A 21,522-nucleotide genomic window follows, 5' to 3' on the forward strand; every position below is an offset into this window, starting at 1 on the left:
ATTTCAAACTTACAAAGAATTTCCAAAAATAGTACAAAGACCATCCATAATCCTTTACCTCAATTCACCCAATGTTAGCATTTTGCCCTATTTGCTTTATAATTTGATCTCTTTCTGTTATATAAAGGAGATGATAAGTCAAATAAGCAACAAGCATCTGAACATTTGCAAAAGTATTGTTTTCTATCAACTTTATCATAAATGATATAAGTCAATGCATCCTCTGGTTTTGTGACAGGTCAGATGCTTCGCTCCAATATCACTCTAGGAACTGTTCCTTTTTCTGCTTCTTACTTCACTCAGTAATCTCCTTTATACAAGTTTTTCTCGTGTATAGAATCAGGCCTTGGATCAGTTATCATATCTTTATAGCTTCCTTTAATCAGAATAGTTTCTTAGCCTTTCTATGTCTTACATGACATTGAATTTTTTTGCTGACTAATCTTTACCATACCTCCTTTCTAAATAGAATGTTCCTCTTTTTGTCTGTCTGATGTTTTCTTATAATTAGATTCAAGTTATGCTTTCCCATCTGGAATACAACATAAATGATGCTGCATCCTTCTCATGGTATTATATGTAAAGGTGCATTAAGTTCATCTGCCCCTATTTGTGGAATTAGTTTTGATTACCTGCACCAAGTGCTCCCTTATTCTTCCACTGTATAGTATTTTTTTATTGCTACTAATAAGGAATCAGTGGGGAAATACTTTAAGACCAAAGAAATATTCAATTCTTCATCAAAATTTCTATCTCAGATTCAACATTTATTATTGATTCTTACCTGATACAATCTTTACTGTAATGATTACAAAAAGGGGATATTCCACCACTTCTGCCATATTTAACAGTCAATACTTGGCATGTTACTATAAACAAGATATTCAATTCTTCCTTCTTTCAATTTCTTTTTAATCTATTTATTATTGATATGGAGTCATAGATCCCTATTTTTTCCAATCCTTTGTCATCCATTACTCTCCTTATTTTGGCACTCAAATTGTCCTTGATTTGGAAAGTAGAAGCCCCTTTAAGGTGACTCCAACGTCTGTGTGACAGAACCCATCATTGTGTTTAGCACTTTCATTTTTAGCACTTTCTTGCTTTCTGGCGTAACGCAATATTCTAGGCTCATCGTCCCTGCCCCAACCCTGTACTCAGTAATATTTCAAGGAGCCCTGATTTCTTTTATTGGAATGAGGTAGTAGAAACCAAGATCTGGGTCCTACATGTGTTTATCAATACCTGGGTGCCTTGTTTGTAAGCCTTTTCAGTGGACAGTTAGGAAACATGGCCTGTTTATACAGCCATGCGTATGTCAACACACATAAATGCATAAACACACACAAATATATACACATATAACTGAACATACATGTATACGTGAATATTTTAGAAATCAACAGTCCATTCTACTTCCTCCTATTCCAACCCATTCCCATGTGTTAATTCTTGGCATCCCCATTTTACATATTTTTCTCTATTTTATAAATTTATTTGCATAAAGCTCACACATTTCTTATCCCAGGTATCCATTTCCTTTGTTTCCCTTTTCTCCTACTTCAGAACCATGTGCCTTGATAGTCTCTTAGTTCTCTGAGCTTCACTGTACTCATTTGTGAAATAGGCATGAAAATAATTCCCACTTTTAGAGATGTTGTGAAGAGTAAATGACACAGAGACTTTAACACAATATCTGATGCGGAAAGAATTTAATAACTGATTAGTCAGAAAAAAAAGAGAAGCTGTATACTCAAAATTCTTGGTGGTAATAGTCGTGATAGTAGTAGCAATAGAATTAAAACTTTCCTTTATTTAAAAAATCAATCTATTCTACTGATTACGTATATACTTAGGCCTGACTTCATAGCATAACAATCCATTTCAAATGTATTCAATTTTAAGTTTATTCAAAAATCACTCACTAAGCTTAATATTTTCTAGGTGTTGGATTTAAACATATAAATAATACACACCACTTGCCTTTGAGTAGTTTATAATAGAATATGCAGATGCAAACAGACGAAATAGTTATGAAGACAAATTACTATAAAGGAAATATGCTGCACAGAAGGATGGGGATCAGGGAGATTGTGTTAGAACTGAAAATAAAGTATTGATTACTATGAGCAGAATCCAGATTGTTTCTATAATACCTATAAAAATAGTTGCTATGGAAAATTAAAGGGCATTTTATAATACAATATTGTTATTTTCCTAATTCTAAAATTCCTCTGAAATTATTGTGTGGAAATATTCTCTAATAATTTTTTCTCCCTCAAGAAAATGTTTCCCCCTTCGTGGCCTAGAAAATAAAATTCTAAATACATTTCCTGGTATTCAACAATTGTCTGCCATTTAACAATCAACTTAGGGTTTACGACTTCCTTTTACGAAATTTATACTTCACTCAAACTGAAAGTGACTATTCTCTTCACAAACTTAAATTTTTCTTGCATCATTTGTTGCTTATTCTGTTCTCTTTTCCCTTTCCTTCCATGTCTCGTATTATTTAAAGTCACTTAAAGTGACTTAGGAGATGAAAGGACATGAATATGCATATCAAAAATAATTTAGTGGAAAAGGCAGACATGGAATGGAAATGAGCATAAGATATCAACAGTTCCCATGCCATTTATTAAAAACTGAGACCAAGAAATCATTTATTTTTATGCCTTAATTTATCAATTTTATGCTTCTTTATTTTCTTGTCTTTCTTCTTTCCTTCTTTCCTTTCTTTTTCTGTTTATTTTTCATTTTACTTTTTTACTCTTCTAAGTATTAATCCAATAAATATTTATTGATTTTACATTGTATACCAGATACTGTTCCACATAATGTTATAGGCAGGAAAATATTCTGGTAAAGAGGTAAAAAAAATCCTTGTGCATATAACTTTTACTCAGTGGGTTTCGTTAATTTCTAGGCAATTGTTTACATACTGAGAGATATGAATAAATAAATAAACAAAACAGTTATATGATATGATGACAGAATATTGTAAGTCCTCCAGAGAAAAAATAATTCCCAATAGGAATGGAAAAGAGTGAATATCTAGAAAAGGTGTGTAGCCACATTCTTTCTGAAGGATGACAGGTGAGAGACCTGAGAATATCCAGGAAAAGGGCGTTTCAGATATGCCAAGGGCTTAACAAGAAGGTCCATCTGGAGTCACTGAAGAAAAGAATGTAGGCCTTGCTAGGCCAATATTCAAATTTGGATTTTCTTCTAGGTGAAATTAGAAGCTATTGGAGAATTTTAGAGAGCCAATGTAATCAGTTAAGTTTTTAATACATAATTCAGGCCATTATTTGGAGAATAGATTGTAGATAAGCAGCATTTTAATAAGCAGGCTCTTTCTGTCATCTGGCAGAAAAGTGATGGTAACATTGACTAGAGTCGATGGCATGGGCATGAACTAGGTTAGTGGGCTAGGAGGTTGCGAGAAGAAATTGAATTTGAGAATATCTGGGATGGTGGTGAATTACAGGATATTTTGAAGCACTGGATCTGAAATTGAGCAAGAAAAGAGTCAAGTGTTAATTTCAAATCTGTTGGTTTGCACCATTTTCTAAATAGAGTACTCAGTAAGTACGTAGTAACTAAATAACTCATTTTCACTCATTGGTAGGAGTGGTGTTAGATTTATTATTAAAATACCAATATGATTTGCAAATAAGTAATACATTTAATTTTGGTAAATGTTTGGAATGCCTTATAAAGTATCATGTCCTGAGATTTTCTTTGAAGCCTACAGAAATATATATATTCCATAAAATGAAAAAGTAGAGTTGGTAATATTAGGGGAAAGTTAGATAATTTTAGAGTAATACTCACAAAGTTATAATTTTAACTGTTTCTTTGTGGGAAAGGTTTTTACTGCTCCAAGTATAGCAAGAAGAAAAGAAATAAACTCTGCCCCTGACCTTCATCTCTATTGTGTTTGGAAGTTGTGTAATATGCTCTCTGAATTTGAATTGTGACAGCCAGCACATAGCTCCCTAGATACCCCTAAAACCAATTAAGAAAAGATTATGCTTCTATTCCTCCAGTATATGCACTCATTGGGAGAACTGATTTTCCCTTTTGCCCCAGTGACATAAAACTTCTCATAGTCCCCAGCCTTTCCTTCTGCTTTTTTGCCTTTACTTCAACTTAGTTTTCATTCTAAACATTATTATCCTCCAAGATTGGCTTCAGTAAGTTTATTCCATACTTTTATAGCAATCTGTGATTAGCTATATTATTGCACAATAGAAGTAGGGTGGAGTGGAGGGAGTTGACTCTCTTGTTGGGGGTACCTCTATGGTTTGCTTCCCTAGTTCCCTGGGCTTGCCCCTTGCAGCCTCTCCTAATATGGCCACTAGGAGAGTTGAATCAATTCTAAAATGTCGGCAAAGGTCCAGATTACTCTGCAAGGCAAAGAAGGCCTGCACATATGAGACCTCGGTCCATTTGCCCTCACATTTACAGAAAACGTCCCATTACAGAAAAAGTCCAATACTGCAGAATGGTATTGAAATTCATGCTTTCTTCCTGAAGCCATGCTTCTTTTCTGTGCCTCAAGGTTCTTGGCACTAAGTTGGCAACCAAGGAAACGACAAGAGCATTTTCAACACATATTTATATACAGATACCAAGGCACACTTTCCTTTTGTCTGTGCCACTCTTAACCTTCCATTTTATACTTTTGATGACTAAGCCAAATTCTCATTCAACCCAGTAGTATTATCTCTGTGGTTTGCAACAATACCCTTAACAGTGTATATAAAAAAGAGATAGGAATCATTACAGCCACAAAAGAAAGGATGATAGGAACAACTAGGTCCTAGTGATGACATCCTAATGGGTGGTCGAGAACTAAAGTTATTCCAGGGGTCTTTGGATAACACCAAGTTGTAGCCTCAGCCAGATACACTCCCTTGCCCCAGAACTTCCTTCCAACCCCACCCAATGGCTAGATCTCCATGAAGGGAAACTGGATTGGAACAAAGGCAACATTCCCAACACCCAGGGTTGATGGGGGATTCACAGTGTCCTCCCTAGTGACCCCATGCCTTAAGTCTGGCAGCCATGCTAGTCACTTTTAAATGACTGACAGAGGGCTGGCATTTATTTATTTATTTATTCATTTTTTACTACTGTGGAGTTTAGGGGCTCTAAAAAAAAGAACAAAGAGCAAGTCCACTTTTACTCACTCTTTGCAGATCCTGGACGAGCCCTGTGAAATGTTACGGAATCCTTGGAGTGTTGTTTTTCCAGCTAGAAACCACTGTGGGCAGTGGCACCTTTGCCCCCGTTTTGCTCAGGCCCTCTGGGCTCATTTTGCCTACTCGGCTTGGCAGCCTGCACTGGCCTCACTCTCCCAGCCTGGATCCCATGCTTTCCAAGGGCAAGCAGAGTGGTGAGGGGTGTGTGAGCAAGCAAACATGAGTTCTGGCCACTGCTTACAGCCAGGCATGATGGCTGCAATGGGACAGGCAGCTCCAGGCACAGACAGAGGTGCCAGTTCCCTGTGAGTCCTTGCTCTCCTGTTGTCTCTTCAGCTCTCAGCAGAGGGGAGACCCCGGGGTGGGTAGCTACTTTCTGCAGCTTGCTGTCCCGTCATCTCCTCAGCTCTCAGTAGAGAGGAGAGCCTTTGGTGGGTAGGTCTTCTCTGCAGCCTGTCATCCTGTCATCTCCTCAAGTCTGACTGAATCTGGAGCTTATATGGGCCTCAGAGGGGAGGAGGTGTGCGCTGATAGGTCCAGGGCAGGCATAAGCAGGCTTGGAGAAAACACCACAAGTTTCCACTCTGGTCTGTGGGACCAACAACCCAGCTTCCAGGTTTCAGGCCCTCCCCAGCTTAAAGGTGGGGCTCCACCAGGCACCCGCCCTCTTCTGCCAAGGAGCCTGTCTGCTTCCTGATGCCCTTAATGACACCCAGGCCGTTTATGCCAAAGGGTGGGTCAGGCCAGCGCCAAGCTGCCCTCAACACCCCCGCCTTGGCCTCCCTCTCGTGTTTGTTGCCACCCAAATCTGGAGGGGGCTGAGGCAGCAGGGGCTGGAGTGTCAGTGCTGCCCTGAGCATACACCAGCCTGTCCAGGCTGCAACAGCGCCTGGGGTCAGCCCCAATCTTGCTCTGAGATCAGAGCAGGTGCTGGGAGTTGGGAGAGGCCCAACAGCGGGAGCAGGCACTTCCAAGCCTGTAGGGGCAGCCTGGGCCTTCCAGGGCCCCTGATCATGCAGAGGTCCCTGGGTCCACAACCACAGCTGGGTGGCTGCAGTTGTGCCCAGCAGGGTGGGGCTCCTGACTGCTCCGGGCCCCCAAGAGTACTGGGATACCTGACTCTGCAGCTCCAGCTGGGTGGCTGCATCTGTGCCGGGGGAGTGTGAAGTTCCCTCCCTGTCAGCTCTGAAGGGGGCAGGGCTTCCCCCTGTCCCTGGCTCCCGCTGGCTCCATGGAATGCACAACCCCAGCCATGCCTTCCCCACTGCAGCTGGTGTCATGGCAGCTTCTGCTCTAGATGGACCACTGCTGCCATCAGTACTACCTGTGAAGTCCCAGTGGTGGTGGCCACACTAGGATTGCACTAGGTCAGACCTGATGCTAATGCAGCACTGGGCCTTACCCAAGTGGGGTGCAGTGCTTGTGTCACCCCACTGCAAGCCCAAGGTGACTCAGCAAGGAGAGGCAGACTCCATTTGTTGGGAAGAAAGTAAGGGAAGAGAACAAGTCCGTACCTGGCAATTCAGAGAATTCTTCTGGATTTTATCCAAGAACACCAACACACTACCTCTATGACTGCGAGAACCACCGCATTAGTGGCATTGGGGTGCCGCCTAATGTAGATACAGTTTAGGTGGCAGCACCCAAGTTCTTTTAAATACCTGAAATCCTTTCCAAACAAGCCCCGACTGTGAAGACTATAAGAAATACCTAACTACTCAATGCCCAGACACTGATAACATCTACAGGCATCAAGGCCATCCAGGAAAACATGACATCATTAAACGAACTAAATAAGGTGCCAAGGATCAATCCTGGAGAAAGAGAGATATGTGAGCTTTCAGGCAGAGATTTCAAAAGAATTGTTCTGAGAAAACTCAAAGAAATTTGAGCTAACACAGAGAAGAAATTAATAATTCTATCAGATAAATTTAACAGAGATTGGAATAATTTAAAGGATTCAATCAGAAATTCTGGAGCCAAAAATGCAATTGGCATATTGAAGAATGCATCAGAGTCTTACAATAGCAGAATCGATTAAGTGGAAGAAAGAATTAATGAGCTTAAAGACAGATTATTTGAAAATACAAAGTCAGAGCAGACAAAAGAAAAAAAGAGTTTAAAAAATGAAACATGACTACACAATCAAGAAAATTGCCTCAAAAGAACAAATCTAAGAGCTACTGGCCTTGGAGAGGAGGTAGAGAAAAAGACAGGGGAAGAAAATTTATTCAAGGGAATAGTAACAGATAAATTACCAAACCTAGAGGATTACATCAAAATCCAAGTACAAAAAGGTTATAGAATACCAAAGAGATTTAACCCTAACAAGACTACCTCATGGCATTTAATGATCAAACTTGAAAATGTTGAGAGGATCCTAAAGCAGCAAGAGGAAAGAAACAACATACAAAGGAACTCCAATATGTCTGGCAACAGACTTTTCAGTGGAAACCTCATAGTCCAGAAAAGAGTGGTATGACATATTTAATGTACAGAAGGAAAAATAGCCTTTAGCATAAATAGTGTATTTGGTGAAAATGTCTTTCAAACAGGAAGGAGAAATAAAGACCTTCCCAGACAATCAAAAGCTGAGGTATTTCACCAACAGCAGGCCTGCTCTACAAGAAATCCTAAAGGTAGTTCTTCAATCTGAAAGAAAAGGATGTTAAAAAGAAAGAAAAAATCATGTGTAGGTACAAAATTCATTGGTAATAGTAAGCACACAGTAAAACAGGATACTATAACACTGTAACTGTGGTGTGTAAACTACTCTTACCTAAGTAGGAAGACTATAAGATGAACCAATCAAATATAATAACAACTTTTCAAAACATACACAGTAAAATAGAAACAACAAAAAATTAAAAAGAAGAAGAACAAATTTAAAGTGTAAAGTTTTTAATTAGCTTTCTTTTTGCTTGTTATTTTGTTTGGTTATGCAAGTAGTGTTAAGTAGCTACCAGCCTAAAATGATGCCTTGTAAAATGGTATTTGCAAGTCTCATGGTATTCTCAAATCAAAAAACATACAATGGATACACACTCACAAAAACAACAACCAAAAAAAACCCCAAAATCCCAAGTAATTAAATCATTTCACCAGAGAAAATCACCTTCACTGAAAGAAAAAAGGGAAGGCAGGACAGAGAGAAGAGAAGATGAGAAAAACAACCAGAAAACAAAATGGCAGGAGAAAGTCCTTACTTATCAATAATAATATTGAATGGAAATGAACTAAACTCACCAACAAAAATATATAGAGTCGCTGAATAAATTAAAAAAAACAAGACCCAATGATCTGTTGCCTACAAAAATGCATTTCACCTATAAAGTTACACATAGACTGAAAAAGAAATAGAAAAAGATATTCCATGCCAATGGAAACCAAAAAAGAGCAAGGATTTCTATACATATGTCAGAAAAAAATAGATTTCAAGACAAAAACTGTAAGAAGAGACAAGAAAGGTCATTATATAATGATAAAGGGGTCAATTCAGCAAGATGATATAACAATTGTAAATATATGTGCCCAACACCGGAGCACCTAGATATATAAAACAAATATTATTAAAGCTAAAGAAAGAGACAGACCTCAATACAATAATAGCTGGATATTTCAACATCCCACTTTCAGCATTAGGATGATGCCTTAGACAGAAAATCAACATAGAAATATCAGACTTAATCTGTACTGTAGACCAAATGGACTTAATAGATATTTACAGAACATTTCACCCAATGGTTGCATAATACATATTCTTCTCCTCAGTACATGGATTATTCTCAAGGATAGACCATATGTTAGGTAACAAAATAAGACTTAAAATATTCAAAAAATTTGAAATAATATCAAGCATCTTCTCTGATCATGTGGAATAAAACTAGAAACCAATAACAAGAGCAATTTTGGAAATTATGCAAACATTTGGATTTTAACAATATGCTCATGAATGACCAGTAGGTCAATGAAGAAATTAAGAAGGAAACTGAAAATATTATTGAAACAAATTATAATGAAAACACTACAGACCAAAACCTATGGGATATAGTAAAAACAGTACTAAGAGAGAAATATTTAGCTTATAGCTAAAAATATATCAAAAAAGAAGAAATAATTCGAATAAATAACCCAGAGATACAGCTTGAGGAATTAGAAAATCAAGAGCAAACTGAAACTAAAATTAGTAGAAGAAAATAAATAATAAAGATTATTATTATAAAGATAAATGAAATTGAGATGAAGATAGCAATACAAAAGATCAATGAAACAAAAAATTGGTTTCTTTGACAAGATAAATTAAACTGACAAACCATTATCCAGAGTAATTAAGAAAAAAAAAGAGAGAAGACCTGAATAAATAAAATCAGAGATTAAAAAAAGGGAGACATAACAACAAATACCACAGAAATTTAAAGGATCATTAGTGGCTATCATGAGCAACTAAATTGAAATGAATTGTAAAATCTGAAAGAAATGGATAAATTCCTAGACACATTCAATCTATCAATATTGAACCGTGAAAAAACCCAAAACTTGAACAGATTAAAAAAAGGTAATGAGATCAAAGCTATAATGAAAAGTCTCCTACTAAAGAAAAGCCTGAAACCTGATGGCTTTACTGTTGAATTGTATCAAACATTTAAAGAGAAACTAATATGTATTCTACTCAAACTATTCCAAAAAATAGAGAAGAGAATACTTCCAAACTATTTCTATGAGGCCATTGTTACCCTAATACCAAAACCAAAGACACATTACAAAAAACTACAGGGCAATATTACTGATGAATGTTGATGCAAATATTAACAAAATACTAGCAAATTAAATTAAACAACACATTAAAAAGATTATTCATCATGACCATGTGGGGTTTTTCCCAGGGATGCGGGATGATTCGACATATACAATTTAATCAATGTGATACATCATATCAAAAGAATGAAGGACAAAAGTAATATGATCATTTCAATTCACACTGAAAAATCATTCAACAAAATTAAATATCCCTTCATGATAAAAACACTTAAGAAACAGGGTATAGAAGAAACATAACATAATAAAGGCCATCTGACATACTCATAGCTAGTATCATATTGAATAGGTAAAAACTGATGGCCTTCCTTCTAAGATCTAGAATATGGCAAGAACGCCCACTGTCATCACTGTTATTCAACATAGTACTGGATGTCCAAGCTACAGTAATCAGACAAGAGAAAGAAATAAAGAACATCCAAATTGAAAAGAAAAAGTCAAATTATTCTTCTTTGCAAATGATATGATCTTACATTTGAAAAAATCTAAAGTTTTCACCAAAAGACTATCAGAACTGATAAATTCAGTAAAGTTTCAGGATACAAAATAAACCTACAAAAATCAGAAGTATTTCTATATCACAGCAGTCAACAACCTAAAAAGAATTTAAGAAAGTAATCCCATTTACAATATCTACAAATAAAATAAAATGCCTGAAAAGTAACCAAAGAAGTGAAAGCTCACTACAATAAAATCTCTAAAACATTGATGCAATAAATAGAAGAAGACACACACAAAAATTGAAAGGTATCCAATGTCCACAGATTGGAAAAATCAATATTGTTAAAACATCCATGTTACACAGTGCAATCGACATTCAGTGCAATCCCTATCAAAATACTAATAACATTCTTCACAGAAACAAAAAAAAATCTTAAAATTTAGATGGAATCACAAAAGACCCAGAATAGCCAAAGTTATCCTTCCCAAAATGAACAAAACTGGAACACTCATTACTTGAGTGTAAATTATACTACAGAGCTCTAGTAACCAAAAGAGTATGGTGCTGGCACAAAAACAGACAGCAGTGGAACAGAATTGAGATCCCAGAAATAAATCCATGCGTCTACAGTTAGCTGATTTTTGACAAAAGTGCCAAGAATATACATTGAGAAAGGACAGTCTCTTCAATAAATAGTGCTGGGAAAACTAATATCCATATGCAGAAGAATGAAACTAGACCCCTGTCACTCACCACATGCAAAAATCAAATCAAAATGAATTAAAGACTTAAACCTATGACCTCAATCTATGAAACTACTAAAGGAAAACTTTGGAGAAACTCTGTAGGACATTGGAATGCGTAATGATTTCTAATACCTCACAAGCACAGGCAACCAAAGCAAAAATGGACATATGGACACATCAAGTTAAAAACCTTCTGCATAGCAAAGGAAAAACTCAACAAAGTGAAGAGACAGCCCACAGAATGGAGCTCCCCATCTGACAAGGGATTAATAACCAGAATATGTAAGGAACTCAAAAAACTCTACAGCAAAAAAAATCTAATAATCTGATTTTTAAATGGCAAAAGATTTGTATAAACATTTGTCAAAAGAAGACATCCAAATGGCAAACCAGCATATAAAAAGGTGCTCAACATCACTGATCATCAGAGAAAGGCAAATCAAAACTACTATGAGATATCATCTCACTCCTGTTATAATATTTTTTTACCCAAAAGTCAGGCGATAAATGCTGGCAAGGATATGGAGAAAAGGGAATCCTTTTACATTACTGGTGGGACCACTGCTACTTGTATACTTGTACGTTGTTAGTACAACCACTATGGAGAACAGTTTGGAGGGTCCTCAAAAAACTAAAAATTGAGCTACCATATGACCCAGCAATTCCACTGCTAGGTATATGCCCCAAAGGAAGAAAAACAGTATATATTAAGAGATGTCTTCACTCCTATGTTTGTTGCAGCACTGTTTGCAATACCTAAAATTTTGAAGCAATCTAAGTGTTCATCAAAAGATGAATGGATAAAGAAAATGTGGTACATATACACAATGCAGTACTATTTAGCCATTAAAAAGAATGTGATCCAGTTATTTGCAACAACATGGTTAGAACTTGAATCATTATGTGAAGTGAAATAAGCCAGGCACAGAAAGACAAACATCACGTATTCTCATTTATTCGTGGGATCTATAAATCAAAACAATTGAACTCATGAACATAAAGTAGAAGGATGGTTACCAGAGGCTGAGAAGAATAGTGAGAAGCTGGGAATTAGGGGGTGAGAATGGTTAACGGGTACAAAAAATAGTTAGAAATAATGAATAAGACCTAGTATTTGCAAACACAAGGTAATTATAGTCTAAAATAATTTGATTCCACATTTTAAAAAGAGTATAATTGGATTATTTGTAAACAAAGGGTAAATGCTTGAGAAGATGGATACACCATTTACCCTGATGTGATTATTACATATTGCATACCTGTGCCAAAATATCTCATGTAACCCATAAGTATGTACAATTATTATGTACCCACAAAAATTAAAAATTAATAAAAAAGATCCATTTGCACAAGCAAAAAATGCATAATAAATGTAAAGTTCGTTTAGCATTAAAAAGTACATCATTGATTTCATAAATGTAATTACTTATTAGGTAACAATAACAAATAATACAACTTCTGCTAAATAAAACATGGTTGAATTTCAAAAATATATGTTTGTTAGGCAAAAGAGTACAGAACACTCTCTCTCTCTCTCTCTTTTTTTTTTTTTTTTTTTGAGATAGTCTCGCTCTGTTCCCCAGGCTGGAGTGAAGCGGCATGATCTCGGCTCATTGCAACCTCCGCCTCCCAGGTTCAAAGGATCCTTCTGCCTCAGCCTCCCAAGCAGCTGGGATTACAGGCATGCGCCACCACACCCGGCTATTTATTATTATTATTATTATTACTATTATTATTATTATTATTTGTATTTGTATTTTTATAGAGGTGGGGTTTCACCATGTTGGCCAGGCTGGTCTTGAACTCCTGACCTCAAGTAATCCTCCCACCTCGGCCTCCGGAAGTGCTAGGATTACAAGCGTGAGCCACCACGCCTGGTCCAGAATGCTCTCAAGGTGGAAAAGCATTTTAACTAGAAACAGACATGTGGGAACCTTTGGGATGCTGGAAATATTCTGTATATTACTCTCATAGTTGTTACATGAGTGACTAGATATGGAAAAACTCATCAAGTTGTACACTTAACATCTAGGAATTTTACTATTCTAAAATTTTGTATTTCAATTTTAAAAATCCTGTGAATGGGTTGGTAGAAGAAGACAATTCATCCCTTTGAGCCATGACTGTATTACACAGACTGTCTTAATTGCACTTTCATCCTGTATTGCCAATATTAAATCGTATGCATATTTTCAACTCTTTATTATTTATCTTAGAAGAACAGAGCACCAGATCCTAAGATTCTATTATAGTATCCTCAGTATCTAACTCATTGCCTGGCATGAAATCTACATAAACAACAAACGTAAAAGGTGATTGTGAGGAATACATATTATAGATTTGGATAATAATCCAGAAAGATACAATCCCAAATGCCATAATTCCAAATGTTGAAATCCTGAATCATCAAAATTTCTAATGTTAAAAATTCCTAAAGTCTAAAACTCTTTTGTCTGAAATCCCTAACATCTAAATTTCTGAAAATAACACCACAAGGTACTTGCATCATGTTACGCGCAATTATTACTTTGTTATTGCCTTTGTGTAGAAGAAAATTATTTTCAGTTGAATCTCCAAACTAGATAATGACAAATCTGGAATTCGATACAATCAAGGCTTCTAAAAGTGAATTTTAAGGTGTTACCAATAAAGTTCGACTTTGCCATTCAGCCCAAGGCATTTGGCTGAAAATTCAGACGAGTGGATTGGCCACATGATACAGCAACCACAAAAACTTCACCTTGCCAGCATTGGCAATACTTCTAGCTGATGACATTTCAGGAACTTTTAATGAATTGAAGCTGCATATGCCTGAAGCCCCTGCAGCCACTGACCGGTTAGAAAATAATTATGCAAATAGTAAGATAAGAAGAAAATTATGTAAGTGTGTTACTGTTTTATCACCAGTATTGTTTTCACCAAACTTGTGGTCTGTATATGAATGCATGCAGAATGGATTTCCTTGTGCTACAAACAACATAGAAACATGGCACAGAAGATGGGAAAATGCAATAAGGAATGCCCATGTTGGTATGTGGGGGGAATCATGGAATAATTGCTAAAAGAGCAGCGCCACATAGTGTATGAATGTGAAAGTGTTACCGAAAAGAGGTTCCAATTCAGACCCCAAGAGAGGGCCCTTGGATCTCACACAAGAAACAATTCAGAGTGAGTTCAAAGAGTAAAGTGAAAGCAGGTTTATTAAGAAAGTAAAGGAATGAAAGAATGGCTACTTCATAGACAGAGCAGCCCCAAGGGCTGCTGGTTGCCCATTTTTAATGGGTATTTCTTGATGGTATGCTAAACAAGGGGTGGTTTATTCATGCCTCCCCTTTTTAGACCATGTGGGGTAACTTCCTGACGTTGCCATGGCACCTGTAAACTATTATGGCACTGGTGGGAGTGTAGCAATGAGGACGACTAGGGGTCACTCTCGTGGTCATCTTGGTTTTGGTGGGTTTTAGCTGGCTTCTTTACTGCAACCAGTTTTATCAGCAAGATCTTTATGACCTATATTTTATGCTGACCTCCTATCTCATCTTGTGACTTAGAATGCCTTAACCTTCTTGGGAACGCAGCCCAGCAGGTCTTAGCCTTATTTTACCCAGCTCCTATTCAAGATAGGGTTGCTCTGGTTCACATGCCTCTGACAAAAGTATTCTCTAAGCAGAGCGATGTTCTAAAAGAAAAAAAAGCAATTATTCATCTGGATGCAAGACTTCAAAATACAGTTAATGATCATGAAAATTGCCAGCTCGTATGGCCTATCTCCATGCAATTGCCCATAATCTATATACCGTAATACACATTTTCATATGTCAAATTTTTAATTTCTTAGTTTTTCTTTTTTTAGTTTTTTTTTCACTATTTTAAATTGTCAGCATTTTTTTTCCTAATTCTTTATGCTCTATATGTTATCTTCACATAATTTCCAATACTGGAGGTATAAATTGTCTAAAGACTTTTAGAGAATTATAATTAGTTTTATGCATGTTTGGCAAATGTGACAATGAAATTGCATTATCACAACACTGACTTTGTGTGTAAGCATTGTGCACATACGCAAAAACGAAACTCTCTCAGTACATGAAGAGACGTGCTTTTTGTGAAAGACAAAATTCCTTGAGATCTTGGCTCTTAGGGTGACTGGTGCAATTGTGATGCAGTAGTGACCCATTGTGGTTTTTGACTAATCTCATCAAAGGACTTAGGTTGTCCTTCTAGGTACCTCAGATGACTGCAGTTATAAAGCTGGGTGCACACAATTACTAACCACAGTAATATGCATTTATACATTTTGCTTTTTGACCAATTTTTTATTAATATAGTTTATCCACTCATAACTGTTATGTTATCTGTTGTTAGCCTACCTAGATGTTTACGCTTACAAAAATATGTATGTTGTATTGCCTATTTTATTGTATAAAGTGGCCCATGATGTGTTCCATCATGTTTTTATGTTTCTCAAACAAATTTCCTTTTAAAAATGTAAATAAATACATCTTTAAAATTTTTATTTCTTCAGAATTATATTTTTTGAATTTTGATGTGTCAGGATTTTAACATTCAGGATTACGGCATCAGGGTTGTGTCTTTCAGGATTGTGACTGGCTTTTAAACATTAAAATATATGAACATATATAACCTACTACAGTGCCAAGAAACAGTATATTTTTCATAAATACTACTTTCCTTCCCTTTATAGCAATATAACTTAATTTTGTGCTTAATTTGCAGGATTTATGCCAAGCTGCTTTTTATAATTCTGTAGCAAAAATATGTGAAATGCACTGTGGTGTGTATTCTGTCAATAATATGGGTTTCCTTTAAGGTATAGTTGAAAGAATATGACAGAACTACTGGGTCAGTTGCCAAACAGCAAAAGTTTAAACAATATTGAGCTTCCATTAAAGGTGAGCAATGCAATATCTGGGGTAAAACACTAGATTTTCCACCACACGTTTTAAAATATATATGGTTAAAAAAATAGCTAAAATATATAAAAATAAATACTTCCAAACAATTCAGGAATGGTGGAAGTCTAATTCAGTTAGACAATGTTATCATTTTGAGTGAATTTTCTAGTAAAAGACTAATGTTCTCAAGCCAACACTGAGTCTTATCTGTTTCTATTATGATTACTTCTAGGCTATGTAGCATTAAAAAAAAGTCTTCTTCACATGGATCTGGGGCAAGGGAAGGTTGCCTCCAAAAGAGATAGGCAACTGGCATTGAAAGCAGGGGAAACAGAGGAGTACAAGAGGTCTCATATTTTCCAATCAGAAGTAACCGGCATAATTCCAATATGAGCCTTAAACAGTAATTCATAGAGACAGACAAAATTACCAGCATCAATTTCTCATTAAACTGCTGCTCACATGAGCAACTATATAAAGTGTGTTTCTACAGTGAGTAGCAGCAGGAATATATGCATTTTATGATGGGAAATTATTTTTCTCATGAGTGACTGGAGAGGTCAGCTAATCAAACATAAATTAATACAGTTGATGAAAGAGTTGAGGGTCTTACAATTGTTCTGTGAGACAATGGATTATCCCCAATGGCTTAACCATCTACTAACATAATACTATATTATTAGGTTACTTTTTGATACTATACAGTATATTTTATAAGAGTAATCTAGTCTTTTAAAAAAACTAAAAAGGAAACCTTGAAAGATATCGCACAGAAGGATCTTAAAACAACCACAAAACTTACTTAAATTATCCACATAATTCCACTAACTCTCACGTTTACATTGACTAGGATATGTGTGTACATGTATCTTGAAGTCAAAGACAATTTATGTCATGTAAGAATGCAAAGGTGAATCCTGTGTTTAGACACATTTCCACATGGTTCCCCCTACTGCAATAAGTTACAAGTAAATGTTTTGTTTTACAAAAAAACAAGGATAAACGTAACAAAAAAAAATTGTGTAGAAAAGTTATTGCTAGCCCCCTAAAAAATAAAATGGTAAAATATTTTCAAAGATAGCACTAAGTTAAAAAGAAAATTTTTTACATTGACAAACATATGCGTTTCTTCACTTGCAACGATTGGAACACCCTATCTACAGTAGAATCTATGGAGCCTGCAAATACCTTAAGAGAATTTTCAAAGGGTATACCCTCTCTAGCCAACCACAATTCGAAAGGGGAAAAAGTGGGAACCTTCTCAACAGATGGGGTGGCATAATGTGGCGGGGACTGGGGATTTGCATGAATATGAATTACAAATAGCACAGATAACATGGCATTCAAAAGCTGTTAGAAATCTTGAATGTCAAAGTCATTTAGCTGACATTTGGAGGGACATAATTACCTTAAGAACATGGAAATGGGTTGGTCTAAATTGCATGGACAGAGAATCTGAGGACACACAATAGCATTGCTTTGGCAATAATTGTGACAAGTGGGCATGGCCAAGTAAGCCAAGAATGGCACACATTAATGCAGTGACATTTTTTTCAATGTGTGCTGCCCTTTCAGAAATATGCATATAAGGCCTAAAGAACCTCTGACCCATTATAAAATAACAGGAGACAAAATAATAAATAAATAAATAAAACAAGCTACCATAAGCCCTATCACTGGAAGTCTAAAGGAAAGTGTTCATTCACATTTCATACACAGACTTTTACATATTTCAAACATTTAAACTGTGTTTAACAATGCTAGACCTCAAAGTTTCATCATTTGTCACAAGTTTACTTGCAATTTACTGAATGATACCTAGATTATTTGCATTGAAAAGACCAACAGTTTCTGATTTTAGAATGTGATGCTGTTAATTAAATTTTCTATGTATATTAACATAAATTGTCAACCCAAAATTTCATACGTAGTTAAAAATTATAAATTTTTCCATCAATTTCTTATTTATTAAGATGTATTTTAAAAGGCGTTTAAAATGTAAGGTACTGTGAAATTGTTGGGAAATATACCAAACATAGTACACACAATAACAGGTCAGATCACATTTACCTGGAGTAATTCGCCACATGTGGTAGAGACATTTTAAAAAGCATATTTTACTCCCTAATTTTTGTCCTTGCTGTGAGGCCTTCCATATCAAGCCTGCTATTAAAGGACACTGCAAGAAATACTCCACTAATGTTTCTTTAGATAATCACATATCGTTTCTAAAATACTGATTAAAATTCAGCACTAGTGATGGCAATGAACACTTTAATATCTACCCACTGAAAGGAAATTCGTGAACCCTAATTAATATTTCATTTTCAAAAGTGAACGAAGCACTTGATTTCTTTAATAGATCAATATCTCAGGCTATAATAACATTTGGAGCCCCAGCAAGCAGACTTCAATTTATACTTCAAATTTACCTCAACTCTCATGCTAGCCTTGATGAACCCAAGACTGGCTGATCATTATTTCTTCCTATCTGTAAATAGCATCTGTGGTCTATTCCACAGCATTTAACACTTATTCTCTCCAGCACTGTTTCCTACTTTCTTATATGCATCAATCTCTTCTCTTTAGTGGAAATATATAAACTATTTATGAAAAGATTAGTATGATATTAGGAATGGAATAATTAATGATAGAATTTATTGATAGATTAGAAAAACATGGATTACGTGTTATAATGAAAACGAGAAGCATCAATTGCTTATTTTATGTTAGAAACTGTCCTGAAATCTGGAATAAAAAGAAAAATCACATGTAGTCCTTTCTATAAAGGAGATCACAGGATGTGGAGTAGTCAGGATTCTAGATACACGAATATGTAGACAGAAATCATAGTGATTGACAGATACATATGATGATAATTACTATAATAGAAAAACAGTATTTTAGGAAGTAATGTGGAAGACCCAAGGAGCTAATGAAAGGAATAAAACCACTCATCATAGAGAAGCCTATTTATTAATTGTAAACTGTTGCAAGGTCAAGTTTTAAGAATCATTCAAAATCACACAAAATTAAATTTGAAAGAATAAACACACGACATTTGAAAAAAGGATGAGAATAAAAACCAGTGTTAGGTTATTTCTAACTTGATCTAAGTTGAACATAATATTGAATTCATTATAAGATATTTGTAAGGTATTCTGGCCTAAAAAAATTTATTATGAAATACAGTAATCAAAATCAAAACTGGTTCATCCACTTAATGAATGAATATTGACCATGTGCTCCGAGCCAGACAATGTGCTAAGTTGTTGAGAGAGAAAAGTGAACAAGAGAGACATGGTCCTGTCCTCATAGCACTTACAGTATTTCCTTTTGAACAGTGTTGTATTTATTATATTTAGCTCAATATAAATCTAAAATTTTGAACGATTATATTTATACTTTCCTGGCACTAAACATGCATGTGTATTGCAGGAAAATGTATAAAATAGAAACATGGTTTAGGAAACTGTAAAACTATCACTTCAATACTTAATACTTTTATTTTTCTGTACACCTTATTACTTAAATGTAAATAACAGATTTTTAAAACCTGAGATCTCATTCCATATAAAATCTGTATCATGTTTTCATGTAGCTTGATGTTTTAACTATTCTTACATCAATCTTCACAAGCATAATTATTAATATTTTCATATTCTCCCAATTCATTTAACAAATAGTTATTCAAGGCATACTCTGTCCATTCTAGATTCAGCTGATAGAGCTGAGATTAGGGCAGACGAAGTCACTTGCTCTCAGGGAACTTGCAGTGGCTCTTATGGTTTTACCATAATTAATTCACTATTTTTGAAACTATGTTTATTATTTATCACTAGCATGAAAAAATGCAATGGAAGTCTTATATAATTATGTGACATATACTTGATTATGTTATATGTACTTGACAACTGAATATAGTGTCCTTGAAATAAGTCATTTTATGTGCAGTTTAATGTTTTTGATATATACTGCAAAATTACTTTTAAGAAGAATTTTATAAATATTCACATGCCTGTCTGCTCTGTATGAAGGTGGACAGCATTACACACTGAAGGCTTTATTTTTTTAAAGGCTTTACCAATGTTGCAGTCAAAAAGTAACATCTAAAATTATCTTTATTGATTATGAGATTGCATAGATTTTCTTAAATTCATTGGTAAACTCTATTTATTCAACCTGTCTTTGCAAAAATTTTTCCTATTAGTCAATTGATAGTATCTCTCATGGATTTGTAAGTGCAATTTGTGTGCTTTTGTCTGTAATTTTTATAAATAATTTCCCTTTAATAAAAAGGCTTTGTATTGGAAAAGTGTTTGCCTATTTATGTCAAATATTCACCTCTTTTTTAATATTTACATTTTACATGAACTATTTTAATCTACTTTTCTTATCAATATAATAAACAAAATAAATATCTAACTTGATTTTCTTCTATATTGTTACCATCAACGCAGGAGCAGCATCAAAAACTTATCTCTAATGTTACTGTAGATATATATATATTTTTTCTATTTCCTGTCTCATTGCATTAGGTAGAACTTCTAAAACAATGTTCATAGTAGCGGTTATCCATGCTGGCCTCATCTTAATTTTAATAAAAATTACTGAAATGTTTCACTTTTAACTACAGTGGTAGCTGTTGACTTAAATATGCAGTTTTTACTGAAGTTAAAGAAAAATTCTGTTCTAAGCTCGAGTATATTTTTACCAAAAACAGGTATTAGATTTTCCTAAATGTCTTTTTAAGCATTTACTAAGAACTCCACAATACCTCTTACTTTTACTTATTGATAGAATATATTAATCATTTTCCTAAAATTAAATTCCCATTTGCATATACTAAATGAATTATTTATTAAAATTTATGTAGTTCAATATGCTGCTGGAATTTATTTGCTGCTATTTTATTTTGGATGTTTTTGTACCTATATTCCTACATGAGATGGTTCTGTAGTTTTGTTTTTAAGTGCTATCTGTATGTGCTTTTGGGATTAGGGTTTTCAGAGTTTTATGAAATACATTTGGAAGAATTTAGCATTTTCCTGTGATCTACTGCAATTTAAAATGCTAATGGTCTTCATTGATCCTAATTACTGTGTGAACTTAAGTGCATCTTGCCATTTATAGATGGAAAATGTCTGAAACTATTTGTTATAATAGTGAAATTCTATGTGGCCTAGTTCCATGGTAGATAGAAAAGAATTGGGAGTAGGATTAACCTAATTTTTCTTACACATTCCTAAGAATCTTAAAGGCTATCAGAGTACTGAGATTTGTCATCAAATTGAGACGCAAAACATTATTTTGTATGGCACAGAGCTCAGTCTCAGAAAACTACGCTTACTGCAGTCATATATTTACGTAAAATTTTTTATTTACATTGAATA

The 21,522-nt window shown here is 35.0% G+C and overlaps 4 annotated features.

The window, feature by feature from the left end:
• Positions 7,736-7,880: an enhancer, noted in NCBI's record as "145 bp 9:12660541 sequence used in MPRA reporter constructs". NCBI's record gives its function as "activates a minimal TATA-containing promoter with rs1575693 allelic activity by MPRAs in C283T melanocytes {active_cell/tissue: C283T}" and the evidence as "EXISTENCE:reporter gene assay evidence [ECO:0000049][PMID:36423637]".
• Position 7,808: a transcriptional cis regulatory region, noted in NCBI's record as "rs1575693 or 9:12660541 MPRA-significant variant associated with a GWAS melanoma risk locus at 9p23". NCBI's record gives its function as "allelic transcriptional activity by MPRAs in C283T melanocytes {active_cell/tissue: C283T}" and the evidence as "EXISTENCE:reporter gene assay evidence [ECO:0000049][PMID:36423637]".
• Positions 18,761-18,905: an enhancer, noted in NCBI's record as "145 bp 9:12671566 sequence used in MPRA reporter constructs". NCBI's record gives its function as "activates a minimal TATA-containing promoter with rs10960749 allelic activity by MPRAs in C283T melanocytes {active_cell/tissue: C283T}" and the evidence as "EXISTENCE:reporter gene assay evidence [ECO:0000049][PMID:36423637]".
• Position 18,833: a transcriptional cis regulatory region, noted in NCBI's record as "rs10960749 or 9:12671566 MPRA-significant variant associated with a GWAS melanoma risk locus at 9p23". NCBI's record gives its function as "allelic transcriptional activity by MPRAs in C283T melanocytes {active_cell/tissue: C283T}" and the evidence as "EXISTENCE:reporter gene assay evidence [ECO:0000049][PMID:36423637]".

The sequence above is a fragment of the Homo sapiens genome, chromosome 9 (assembly GCF_000001405.40).
Source record: "Homo sapiens chromosome 9, GRCh38.p14 Primary Assembly".
Lineage (NCBI taxonomy): Eukaryota > Metazoa > Chordata > Mammalia > Primates > Hominidae > Homo > Homo sapiens.